The sequence below is a fragment of the Homo sapiens genome, chromosome 1 (genome assembly GCF_000001405.40).
Source record: "Homo sapiens chromosome 1, GRCh38.p14 Primary Assembly".
Classification (NCBI taxonomy): domain Eukaryota; kingdom Metazoa; phylum Chordata; class Mammalia; order Primates; family Hominidae; genus Homo; species Homo sapiens.
Genome location: NC_000001.11, coordinates 86335756 through 86349646, shown reverse-complemented (window position 1 = coordinate 86349646; position 13891 = coordinate 86335756). Strand labels below are relative to the sequence as shown.

The 13891-nt window shown below is 38.7% G+C and overlaps 1 protein-coding gene across 23 annotated transcripts in view; it reads left to right on the top strand.

The window, feature by feature from the left end:
- Nucleotides 1-2810, top strand: part of ODF2L (outer dense fiber of sperm tails 2 like) — a 49487-nt gene extending 46677 nt beyond the window's left edge. For all 23 annotated transcript variants that reach the window (NM_001395534.1, NM_001395526.1, NM_001395527.1 and 20 more), the window contains one exon: nt 769-2810. In NM_001395534.1, the coding sequence (NP_001382463.1) occupies nt 769-897 (129 nt within the window). In that variant the 3' untranslated portion in view covers nt 898-2810. The remainder of the gene's footprint in view (nt 1-768) is intronic.
- The last annotated feature ends 11081 nt before the right edge of the window (nt 2811-13891 follow it).

Here is a 13891-nt window from a genome sequence, read left to right as displayed (position 1 = left end):
GTAAAACTCATTGTATTCATCCTGTGACTTTGTACTGCCCAGCCTAGCTCATTGTTTTTTACCTGCCTCATTTCCTGAGCTGGGCATTGCTCAGTTTCAGAAGGTATCAGGTGTCATTGAACACCTGATATGAAGGATGTAAAAGTTCTCTCTTTTCTATCTAGGTGTCTATATTTTAATTGGAGGCTAGATGATATTTGCAACCTGTCTTTATCTAAAGCATTGTCAGTGAACTCACCTACTTAGGAATTCATATGCACCTTAGTTAAAAAAAATGTATTGTGGTTTTAAATTTTTTCCTCAACCAGTGTAATATGAAGAATTCTTTTTATTTTTTAAGAGATTCTAAGAAAATGTTCACATTATCAAAACTAGAATTCTATCAACTTTTAAGACATTTAATTATTTTGGAATAAAATGTGAATTTTTAGACAGAAAATGGCAAAAACTAGTATGAAAATATATCATGTTACATGTGAAATTATGACAGTTGTTAACCTATTAAGTTAATCATGTTAAATATGTAATAATTTGGGGCTAAATGAATGTATATTATAAATTATATCAGTGAAGATCAACCATGTGTGTGCTTTAATTATTAATTTTAAAGAGTGAGCTCTAAGAATGAACACATCAGATGTGAGTATTATTTTAAAAAATCAAAAAGAATTATCTAGTTATTGTATATATGTTTTTAATATTATGACTCTGGTCCTTTGGAATGAATGCTATTATTGCTTATCTGTATTTTTTTCCTTTTTTCTTTAGAAAGCACAACATCAGGAAGTGTGTTTGAAAGAAGTACAAAATAGTCTTGAGAAGTCGGAAAATCAAAATGAGAGTATTAAGAATTATTTACAGTTTCTTAAAACTTCTTATGTAACAATGTTTGAATAAATTGTCAAATTTATTTTCTCTAAGTAGTAGATTTTTATTATGAGTCTAAAATGTGATTGGGTAAAAAAATAAATATACTACCAGTTACATTTTATGATTTATGAGTGGTAGTATTAGAGGTTTTTATGTAAAGATTTTTGAAACATAATTTATCTAACTGAAACTTTAAAATAGGATAGTTGTTACTATTCCTGTTTGCTGGATAATTCTTATTTATCTTTGGTTTAATTTCTTTTAAAATTAAATTGGTTGTTAGAATATTTTTCTCACACATAGACATGGAAGTCAGATTCATTCTTTGTGATGTTTGTAGCCACCATTCAAGTGAATTTGTAGTAAGTCTTGGTCAATATGATTTTAAATAATATATATAATTGTTTTATATTATGATATATAAATGTAAAATATTCTGAATTTTAATTTTTAATAATGGTGTAATTACATACTTTCTAAAGCTACTAAATGTCTCAATATACTACACTTAATATTGTTTCAAGTATATGCTGAGTTGCCATTATAATTTCTGTTAGGTTTTAAGTATACAATTTTAAATCATCGCTATTAAGTACCAACTGCTAATGACAGATGAAAACGTGGTCATGCATTATTTCTTTATAAAGAATAGATATTCAGGCTGTCTTCAATTTGTACTCTCTTTTATTCGTTTTATACTAATGATTATCTGATATTATTATTATTTTAGACATTCTAGAGCCCCTTAGTTAAATAAAAGATTAAAGGGGAACAGCTTATCCCACCCTTTCCATGGCCAACTCATGGGGATGATCAAAATAAGCACTCTTAACATCAAGAAGCTTTAAAATAAGGTCTTTAGTATTGGGATAAAGTTGTCCAAGTTGAAAAAGAACTTGTTTGCTATAATCTCCCACTGTGTGTGCCAAGGCAGGATACTCTAAAAGGGGATGACGTGGTTTACAAAGGATCAAGTAATAGTGACTCCTCTTGGACAATGACTTGAGAGCTGTTAATTCAGAGGAACACTCAGGTCTTAAAAGATCACTAAAAAAGGCAGGTTGTGAACTACACAGTTCCAGCCTATGAACAGAAATATCTCTTTAAGATGTTTTATGCTTTTTTTCTGATCAGAGATGGGGGCCTGGTCCCCTCTGATCCCCTCACTTTTAAGACTGTCATATCATTCACAGATGCTTACTTTCTAGTGATCCAGTTGGTTCGTAGTATTTTTCTTAAAATAGCAAAATACAGAGTGTCAGAACTGGCCACATTTTTTACCCAACAATTGCTAACAAGATTAGTGTCATTTTAAAAAAAATCTTAGTACTCATCATACTAAAAACATGCTTGACCCTTGCAGCCCTTTCTTTACCTCCTAATGCAAAGGGAGCCTTAAATGCCCACATGAAAGGAAAGCAAAGCTCTTGAGTTTTACTCACTAAACTGTAAGCTCCTTAAGGGCCGAAATGTATCTTAGTCATATAAATATCTGGGCACTCAGTTGATGTTTGTGGATAGATGGACAGATGTTGAAAGAGGCAGGTATTCGTACTCCTGTTTTAGATATGAAAAATGTAAGCAAAAAGGATTAATTACCATGGCTGTGGTATGAAACTTGTTTAAAGTTGGCATTTAAATTCAAGTCTGCAACATTAAAGTTCTGTGTACAGAGCCGTTTTCCCACTGTAGCAGCAGCGCAGCAGCAGCGCTGCTATGATTGATTAAGCACTTGCTATGTGCCAGAGTTAATAATTGTGATAATATATTAACTCATTTAATTTTCAGGAAACTAAGACATGGAAAGGTTAGGTAACTTGCCCAAGGTCGCACAGCTAGTAAGTGGCAGACATCCAGAGTCTCTGCTCTGCTCTTAACTCTCACCATACTACCTCTGTATCCATTTCATAAATAAAGATAGTAGTTTCTTATAACAGTAATGCATTTGTCTTACCCATGAATACCTCCTTTCTCATATTTTTAATTTTTTATTGTTACCAAAGTAATTTGTGCTTATGGCATTTAAAAATTGGTGCCTGCAGCTTTAGATAGACTGTGGAAGGAAAAGACTACCACAAAGTTCCTAAGGTTGGTATTTAGCTCCTAGTGACAACATGACAAAGGAAAGTTGCTGAATGCTAGAATTTAACAATCTCTGCTTAATACTGTTTCCATGTGAAGCATTAGGTACACACATTGTGTGTACCTAGGGCTTACCTGGTATGTGACCTAAATTCAATGTCAGCGAGGCCCTTGAGCCAGAAAGCCCATTTCCCCACAGTACTAAAAGATCTGCAGGATTTTCCCTTTATCTTTGATATTCAGGCCCTCAATACTTTCTAAGTTGTAAATGTTTTCTTCCATTATCTATGTTATTATTACTTCTCATGTTCCTTTCCTCCTCTTTCGTTGGCTCCTGGATCTGACCTCCATGCTTCTTGGTCTTTTCCCTCAGGTTATCTGCACTGGGTCTCTTATGAGGTATTTCCTCCAGCGATTTTTCTGACCACTAATGTTATTTTCAAAGTCAGTCATTCTCTTTTTCTGTTGGATATTGAACTTTTAATTAAGAAATCGTGGTAGTTTTTAATTTCTGAAAATCTTTTCTATTTTTAGTTCTATAATTCCATGATATTTTTCATTAAAATTATCTTCTGTCTCTTCCATTGGTTCTGCTTCAGTAGACATCTCTCTTATTTCTGTTGCACTGGTCATCTTTCTTCCCATGCCCCATAAATGAATTTAACTTTTCCTGGCCTACTCAAGCTATGGTTTCCTCAGCATCTGCCAGCACCCTGTTGTGCACATCTCTTGGGCAGTAGCAAATTAAGTGTTAAGAGATGCGGTGGCTTCATTTCTCATGGGCCTATGAGACCTCTTACCATCTGATAACTTTCTATGAGGAGCTGTTTTGCTCCCAGACCTTTTCAGTCTCAAGCAGCAGTTCTTTCCCAACTACAAAGATTGGAAAGCCCTTCACTAGAGAGCCCCTTCAAGGTTTTCTGAGGTCAGCAGGTCTGTTGCAGCAAACGGCAAATGAAGTCCTCTTAGAAAGTGAGTCACAGCAGGGTCTGTAGCTGGAAAAATATACAGCAATTTAAAGAATGAATTTGATCTATCTGCTGGCTTGCAGTTTATTCGTTATATTTAGGTGAAAAAAAGTCACAAAGTCATGTTTATTTTTGTAATTAAAAACCTCTCTGTATATAGGTTCACATATGTTGGTATGCACATGGAGAAAGGAATAGAAACCCACACACGTGATACGGTTTGGTTCTGTGTCCCCAACCAAATCTCATCTCAAATTGTAATCCCCACGTGTTGGGGGAGGGGCCTGGTGGGAGGTGATTGGATCATGGGGGTGCATTTCCCCCTTGCTGTTTTCTGGGTTCTCATGAGATTCAATGATTTAAAACTGTGTGGCAGTTCCCCCCGACTCTCTCAGTCCTCCTCCTGCTCTGCCATGGTAGGATGTGCTTCCTTCCCCTTTGCCTTCCACCATAATTGTAAGTTTCCTGAGGCATCCCAGTCATGCTTCCTGTTAAGCCTGTGGAACTGACTCAAACTCAAATCAGCAAGATAAAAATAATCCCATTAAAAAGTGGACAAAGGATATGAATAGACAAATTCTCAAAAGAAGATATGCAAGTGACCGACAAACATGAAAAAAATGCTCAATATCACTAATGGTCAGGGAAATGCAAATTAAAACCACAGTGAGATACCACCTTACTACTGCAAGAATGGTCTTAATAAAAAAATCAGAAAAGAATAGATGTTGGCATGGATGTAGTGAAAAGGGAACACTTCTACACTGCTGGTGGGAATGTAAACTAGTACAACCACTATGGAAAATAGGATGGAGAGTCCTTAAAGAACTAAAAGTAAAACTACCATTTGATCCAGCAATCCCACTACTGGGTATCTACCCAAAGGAAAAGAAGTCATTATGTGAAAAATAACTTGCATTTGCATGTTTATAGCAGCACAATTTGCAATTGCAAAAATATGGAACCAGCCTAAATGCCTGTCAACCAATGAGTGCATAAAGAAAATGTGGTACATATACATTGTGGAATACTACTCAGCCACAAAAAGGAAAAAAAATCACAGCATTCACAGCAACCTGGATGGAGTGGGAGACCATTATTCTAAGTGAAGTAACTCAGAAATGGAAAACCAAATATTATATGTTCTCATTCATAAGTGGGAGCTAAGCTATGAGGACACAAAGGCATAAGAATGATACAATGGGCCGGGCGCGGTGGCTCACGCCTGTAATCCCAGCACTTTGGGAGGCCAAGGCGGGCGGATCACGAGGTCAGGAGATCGAGACCATCCTGGCTAACACGGTGAAACCCCGTCTCTACTAAAAATACAAAAAATTAGCCGGGCGTGGTAGCGGGCGCCTGTAGTCCCAGCTACTCGGGAGGCTGAGGCAGGAGAATGGCGTGAACCCGGGAGGCGGAGCTTGCAGTGAGCCGAGATCGCGCCACTGCACTCCAGCCTGGGCGACAGAGCGAGACTCCGTCTCAAAAAAAAAAAAAAAAAAGAATGATACAATGGACTTTGGGGACTCTGGGAAAGGGTTGTGGGGAGGGGAGGGGAGGGATAAAAGACTACACAATGGGTATAGTGTAAACTGCTTGGGTGATGAGTGCACCAAAGTCTCAGAAATCACCACTAACGAACTTATCCATGTAACCAAACACCACCTGTTCCCCAAGAACTATTGAAATTTTTTTAAAAAAGAAATAATTTCATTGTAATAATGCCAAGGAAAACTTCTAGAATGTCACCTGAATGTAATCCTAAAACTCATTTTTGTCTATATTTATTAAATTTGCTTTAACTTCTATAGACAAACATAGTTAATTACCTTAAAACTTCATAAATTTGCATTTCCAGGCTAGAAGTATAACTTGATTTCACTATTTTGAGCTTGTTTAATTTGAAATTTTTTATTTAAGACTTTCTGACAGTATACATATGGTAGTGTAAGCGTTTCAAGAAATAAGAATTTTAATTTCAAATGACTCGTTAAAATACCAAGCACAATACTGTATGGTATATTCGATACTCAAAGACTTCTTTCTTTTTCCTGCCTGACATAGAAAGAACTTTTAGAAATTAATAAAAATGTGATTTCCAACAATAAAATATCAAAAGATAAGAACAGACAAATCACAAGGGTGAGGATAGCAGCTGCTGCCAATGCTCGGAGGCAGGCAGGCCATCTGAGAACTGTGGCTTCAAGCTGTTTAGAGAGGTAGGCAACAACCTGGAGGGTGGGTCCCTTAGACTGGGTTAGAACACATAGTGCAACTCCACGCCATTTGTCGGTATAGAGGGAGAAACGTTTGGCGAGGTCTGGGAGAGAGAGGACGGGGGCTGAGATGAGAGCCTTCTGGAGTAGACGGAAAGATTGGGTAATAGGCTGTGCAGGTTTTAAAGGCTCATGGAGAGGGCCTTTAGCAGCTTGGTATAACAGTTTGGCAAGTAGAGTGAAGGAGGGAACCCAGAGCCTAAAATATCCCGCTAGTCCTAGAAAAGAGAAAATTTCTTGCTGAGTTTGCAGGAGCGGGAAGGACTGGAGGAGGGATATGCAGTCCGTTGTGAGCCTTCGGGTTTGCGGGGTAAGAGCTAGGCCTAGATAGGTGACTGAGGGGGTGCATGTGTGCTTTCTTAGGGGAGACCTGATACCCCTGTTCTGCCAAGAAGTTTAAAAGAGAGATGGTATGGGCATTGCAGTCTCTTTGAGAGGGGCTACATAGGAGCAGATTATTAACATATTGAAGGAGAGTGGATGGTTTTAGGGATAAGGTAAAGAGGTCTCGAGCAAGGGCCTTTCCAAAAAGGTGGGGGCTGTCTCTAAAACCTTGAGGTAGTACGCACCAGGTGAGCTTAAGTGAAAGGTGGGTGTCAGGGTTTTTCCACATAAAGGCAAAGAGGTTTTGGGAATCAGGGTGTAAAGGAATTGTGGGGAAAAAAAGGATCCTTTAGGTTTAGAACAGAAAAATGGGTGGTATTGGAGGGAACTGTGGAGAGTAAAGTATACGGGTTAGGAACTACTGGACATACTGGGAGTACAGCTTGGTTAATGAGCCTGAGATCCTGGACTAATTGATAAGTTCCATCTGGCTTTTTAACAGGTAGAATTGGTGTGTGAAAGGGAAATTTGTTGGGTGGAGTAGGTGACTGGCGAGGAGGCCAGAAATGATAGGCTTTAGGCCTATGAGAGTTGCTTGGGGGATGTAATACTGCTTCTGTGATAGGAACTGGGTGGTCTCTTTAAAGGTAATGCGGAGGGGGGTGTGGTGTTTTGCAACTGAGGGTCTGGAAGTATCCTAAACAGCGGGGTTAACTACGGATGGGGGATAAGGAAAAGTTGCATGTTTTAAGGTGGGAGGTTGGAGGAGCAGAAGAAAGAAGCCCCGGAGGGGTCTGGGTTGATGCGTTGGGTACTGTGGGGAATGTGGAAATGGATAGTGTGGAGTTTTGAAAGGATGTCTCTGCCTAGGAGCGGAGTTGGGCATGAGGGCAGGACTCAGAAAGAGTGAGTGAAGGAAAAGGTGTGTGGGGAGCAGAAAAGTGGAGGGGTGGCTTGGGGTTTGGAGACTCGTCCATCAATTCGCACAACAGAGACTTGGCAGGACTGGGTGGGTTCTGAAAAATTAGGTAAAGCAGAGTAGGTTGTCCCATATTAATTTAAAAAAAAACCATACTGGCCTACCTGCCACCATCAGGGTTACACTTGGCTCAGATGAAGCGATGGTAGTTGCCGGGGCATCCGTTCCAGGACACCATCAGTCTTCAGTAGCAAGGACAATGAGATTCGAGTGGGAGGTTTTGGGCGGCTTAGGAAGGGGCAGTCCTTGTGGGGGCCACTCACAGTCCAACTTCCTGTGGGGTCCTTCACAGAGGGGACACGGCCTGGTGGGCTTACCTGGGTTTGGGCATTGTCTGGACTAGTGGCCTTCATTGCCACACTTGAAACAGACAGGTGGAGGTGGATTGCTAGGAGGCTTCCTTGTGGAGCTGCGACCCTGTGGGCCTGCAGGGCCCCTGATGGTGGAAGCAAGCATTTAAAACTCTGCCTGTTTTTGCCTTTTACTTTCCTCATTATGATTGTTAAAGACTTTGAAGGCTAAATTAAGAAGGTCTCATTCTGGGGTGTGAGGGCCATCATCAAGCTTCTGAAACTTGTACCGAATATCAGGGGTGGACTGGGAGATGAACCGAAGGTTTAAGATAGTAGTTCTTTCTGGGCTTGCTGGGTCTAGGTTGGTATATTTTCTCATGGCTTCAGTTAAACCAGAGAGAAAAAGGGCTGGGTTTTTATTAGGACCTTGGGTGATTTCTGAAAGTTTTTTATAGTTTACCACTTCATGGGCACCCTTTTTGAGTCCTGCAGGGAGACACACAATCATGTGGTCTCAATGGCGGTGTCCAGAGGTCCTGTCTTGATAATCCCAGTGGGGTCCTGGTTGGGGACTGCCTCTGTGCCAGTAGGCTGGGCAGGAGCTTGGTGATGAATTGTATTAGCATGTGACGGAGCTAGGGTCCAGATATGGTCTCGGTCTTCTGGGGTGAGGGTGGAAGAGAGGATAACATAGAGGTCATGCCAGGTTAGTTCATAAGACTGGGTGAGGTACTGAAACTCTCTAATGTAAGAGGTAGGGTCTTCTGGAAATGAACTGAGTCTTTTGTTAATTTGAGAGAGATCAGTGAGGGAGAAGGGAACATGAACTCTAAAAACACCTTCAGTTCCTGCTGCTTCCCAAAGTGGGCACTCTAGCACCTGCACTGAAGTAAGGGTGGGGCATGGGCCAAAGATGGCACCCAAGTGAGTATGGGCAGGAGAGAAGGAAGAAGCCGGAAGTGGTTCTTGCTGAGTGTTTGAAGGGGAAAGGGGGGATGAGTTAACAGGCAGTGGAGGATAGACAGGGGCATAAGGTGTTGGGATGGGTTTACAAGCCTCAGGAGAGGGTGGTGGGGGAGGAGAATGGGTACAGGCAATTCTAGAATTGTCCTGAGGAGGGGATGGTGCAGAAGAAAAAGTGGGTACTGCTGACTGAGAAGATGGCCGCTAGGAAGAGGGCAGCTGGGAAGATGGCGGTTGAGAATATAATGAGGAGGCTTGGGGGGTTAAAGAAGACGGTTGAGAGGAAGAGGTAGGGGCTGGGAGGGGTAGACAGCAGTCAGCTGGATTGAATGAGGAAAAAGAGGTAGGGTCAGGAAGAGAAAGGTGATCAGGGCAGCAAGAATGGAGGAGAAGGATTTGAACAGGTGAGCAAGAATTGCAGAGGTCGAGTTGTGATCTGAGTGCAAAAAAGCCTGGACATAAGGAATTTCTCCCCATTTCTCCAGTCGTCAGCAATAATTGCTTAAATCAGTTAAAACTGTAAAGTCGAATGTTTCATTTGTGGGCCATTTGGACCCATTATCCAATTCATATTGTGGCCAGACTGAATTGCAAAAAATGACAAGACACTTAGGGTAGATATCTTGCCTGAGGCCTAAGGTTTGCGGGTTTTTTATGAGGCAGGCTAGAGGGCTGTTTTTTGGAATGGAGGACCGCGAGTTTCCCCATAATGGAGGGTAGGCTTGGGAGAACAGGGAAAAGGAGACTGTCCTGGATGGCTGGAGGGATACGATAAAAGGAGCGATTGTTACTACTGCGTTTTTTGCTCCTGGAACAGGATCAAATGGCTTAGAGGCATCCCCCTAAGACCAGATGATCAGCGAGTGCCTGGCACATGCCAGAGCCTTCTTGGACCAATGTTGGGTTTTCAGACTGGAGAAACCAAGAGAGGCTGTGCAGATTTTTACCTGTTAACTGGGCTCCTGGGAAAACTTACCAGTAGGTGAGAGCAGTGACTGAGGTGCATGCACAGAGAGGCAACTGGAGACTGAGGAGCTTCCTTTGTCTGCTCTCTGGAATGGAGGGGTAGGTCCATGAGGGACATGGACTGGAGCCCCTCCCGGGTTTCAGCACCAGATGTAAGGTTCTTTTATCAGTTTGAACCCTGCGAGGACACCAATAGGCAGGAGTCAGTGTGGAACAACATGCTGTTTAATGAACACCTGGGTGCAGGCAGGCTGAGGCCTACAGTGGCGTCAGTCCCAAGTGAGGACAGGGCAAAAAGGTTTTATAGACTCCTGTAAACAGGAAGTGTCCTAGTCTGACGTAACTGCTACATTGTACCCAGACGTCCTCTTTCTCAATCTTCAGGGGTACGTGTCTTCCCGCCAGGGTAGGTGTCTTCTGGCAGGCTCTCTTCCTGCTTCTGCTATCTTGCTGATGCCTGCTGCTGACAGAAGTGGCCTTGTGCCTTGGGAGTGGGCCTGAGAAGGGAGGAGTTATTCATCTCCCTAAGCCTTCAGGCCCCATGGAGAATCTTACAAGACCCCCCCACTATGACCACAGACACATACATTCTAAAATCTTAGGATTCACTGCTGACTTTTCTCAAATTATTAAGTAAGAAGTAACATAAACCAAAGCTTCCAAAGAACAGAAGAGGAAATGCTTCTCAACTTTTTTTTAATGAAGTCAGCATAATCTCAATAACTAAAACACAGCAAGGACATTTTAAAGAAAAACACATTCCAATATCACACATGAATGTAGATGTAAAAATCCTAATCAGAATATTAGCAAATTGGATTCAGCAATATGCAAAAAGGAGAATATATGATTATCAAATGGGAATTTATTTCAGAAATACAAGTGTGGTTTAATATTTAAAATTGAATTAATTTAATTTGCTTTATTCTCCAAAATTTAGCATCCATTCATAATGAAAACTCTTAGTAAACTAGGAATAGACGTTGGAATGTCTGCAAAAACTTACAGCAAACATCATCCTTAATGGCAAATTATTGAAGTGTCTGCCTGAGATTACAAATAAGACAAGAATATCTGCTCTCACATATTTATATTCAAAATTGTATGGGAGGTCCTATCCAGTGCAATAAGGAAGAAAAAGAAATGAAAGGCATAAGAATTGAAAAGGAGAAATAAGATGGCATTATTTGCAAATGACATTATTGTGTACATAGAAAATCCAAAAGAATTTATAAACTCCTATAATCATGTGAATTTATTAATATATATGAATAGGTCAGTATACCAAAAATCACACTATTTCTGTATTGCAGAAATAAACATATAGGAATGAAATTTTAAAAATACCATTGATACTAGCATGAAAAAAAATAGTCCACCTTTAAGTAATATTGCGTCAAACACTGAGGACAAGCAAAATATCTGCAAGGCATTTACACTGAAAACTACAAAACACTACTGAAATTTTTCTAATCTAAAAAATTGAAGGATATATATCCATGAATTGTAAAGATCTTAGTCAACTTTCCAAATTGATCTGTAGATCTATAAATTCATTGCAATCCCAGTCAAAAGCTCATTTTATTTTCTTAGATGGACATTGACAACCTGATTCTAAAATTTACATTTAAATAAAAAGGGCCAAGAATGGTTAAAGCAATCTTGGAAAACAAAGCTTAAGGGCTTACACTACAAGACATCAAAACTTATGAAGCTACACTTATTACAATAGAGTAGTAATGGAGCAAAGGCAAATAGAACAATGAAACAGAATAAAGAGTTTGAGGCAAAATCCACCCATTTGGTTTATGATATCTGATTTATGACAAAGATGACACTGTAGTATATTGGGAATGAATTGTAGTTTTAATAAATGGTGCCAGACCAGTTAAATATGCACATGGAAAACAATCTTAATTTCTAGTTCAAGCCATACACAGAATCTATTCAGGATGAATGATTGAACATAATATGAAGGTAAATCAAAGTTTTTAGAGGAAAATTTAGAGGACTATCTTCAATAGCTTGGAGTAGGTAAAGACTTCTTAAAGAGCATAGAGGATTGGACAAATTGGATTTATAAATTTTATAAATTATATAAATTATAAATCCAAATTTATAATTGGATAAATTGTGTTTCCTTTGTGATTAGCAATTAAAATGAGAACTTCCATTTATCAAAAGTCACAATTGAGAAAGTGAAAAGGTAGCACAAAGAGGGATAGAAAAATATTACATAAAAATATTGGAGATATATATATATATTTATATGAATATATATATATTTTTTCTCCAGCAAAGACTCATATCCAGAATTCATTTTACACTAACTGGGACCTAACTGTTGATTTTTAGCAACCTAAGATAATTTTAATACAAATGGATAATTGAATAAGTACATGTATATGGGAATAAACATCAGCTTCAGGTATTACTTGAAATATCATCAATTAAATATTAATGAGATATAAAACCACAGCACTTCTAAATTATGTACAAAATATTGATATAAACAAAATATTAAAGATTTATGATTTCAGAACTTCACAAAGCTTTCAAAGCACGTTCCCACTTGTAAGGATGTACCAGATGCTGTACTTGATACTGAACATTCAAAGTTGAGTAATAACTCTTTTCCTGGCAATAGTGCTTCCCTACATTTTGAAAACCATGACACAGTAGAAAATAATACGTGTTATGTCCAACTATGGTAAAAAGAGGTAGTTGCTTATAGCTAGAAATTCTGGTCCAAGGCTCTAGCCAACATAGATATTGTCCAGGTTACTCCACTTTATGAGTTGAGATTAGTATCTGTCCATATTTGTAATCCATTTGTGCCTTAAGAAATCCATCACCAGCCTTTCTTCTTTTGTTCTAGCTTTTCTTTTACAAAAGATCCGGTGAACATCTCATGTTCCCGGTGGGAGAACTGGTGCTTCCTCTAGATGCCTTTGGATCTGAGATAGGTACATGAGCTAGATTTCTTATGTTCTTCCTCAATCTGGGTATCTTGGTGCAACTAGACTATTCACAACTTGTTGCATGGAAGCAATAATTGGTGTCTTGTTATTCTGCCTCCTGCCTCCACTTCTGTTTTCTGTTCTTTCTCCATGTAGTATGCATTTTCCTCATCCAGAGGGGATACATGATTTCCATTATATGAAGTGCAGTATAATTTGGCTTTGAAATAGCTGAGATAAAATTTTTCATTTGCAATGGGAATATGGCTGAAGTAAAATGATAGGTAAGCATTTCATAAAGTGGTATATAATCATAGAATTTATGCTTATTTTAAAATTATTATAGTTTTTATCCTAATTCTGTATATAACTTTCTTAGTTCTTTACAGTTGATGAATGCAAATTCTCTATACAGGTCTCAGAAAACTCTCTTGACTTATACAAAATGTGAACTTATGTCTAGTTTACAAACGTGTTTTATTTAAACTTATTTATAAAATGTTGAACATGTAATTAATTGATGGGTTTACTGTGATACCTAGCTAGATACCAAGTCAAGTGATGATTTAGAAGATTATCATAATATATTCACACATGAAAGTTTAATTCATTAATTATGATATCCTTTTATCTAGCATAAATATTTAGAGAGAACAATGGTCTATGATCACAGCATTAATTCTTACTAGGATTAGATTATAGTTGGACAATGTAATTACATAAATGCTCAAACTGAGGTAACAGGAACAGCCAGAACAAGATTCTGTAGGCAGGTTTACAGTCATCTGATTGCTACTGGTGGTGGGAACCTTAGAGATGATGAGCTTTGCATAGGAATGTTAGTAGCAAGCGTTAGCCAAGCAGAATGTTGTTTAATGAGGTGAGACCATTGGAATTGGTAAAGGCTATGACCCCCATAATAAAACTTTATGAGGCTACAACTTCCTAATTATGAACAGTCAGAAATGAATTAACAACCCCAAATCATTAAAGACAAAATGATCCAATTGTTATTCTCCAACTTCTTATAATGAGACAATCCTGTAACCAAATATTTCAGTATATGATTTTGGGATTCCTAAGTAAAGAAAGACATTTTTACTAAAATAAACTAGTAATTTAGTTGCCTATAATATGTTATTCATTAATAGACTGGTAAGAAGGTAATGAACAGAGTGTATTACAAAATGGGTAAGCGCATTCTTAATGT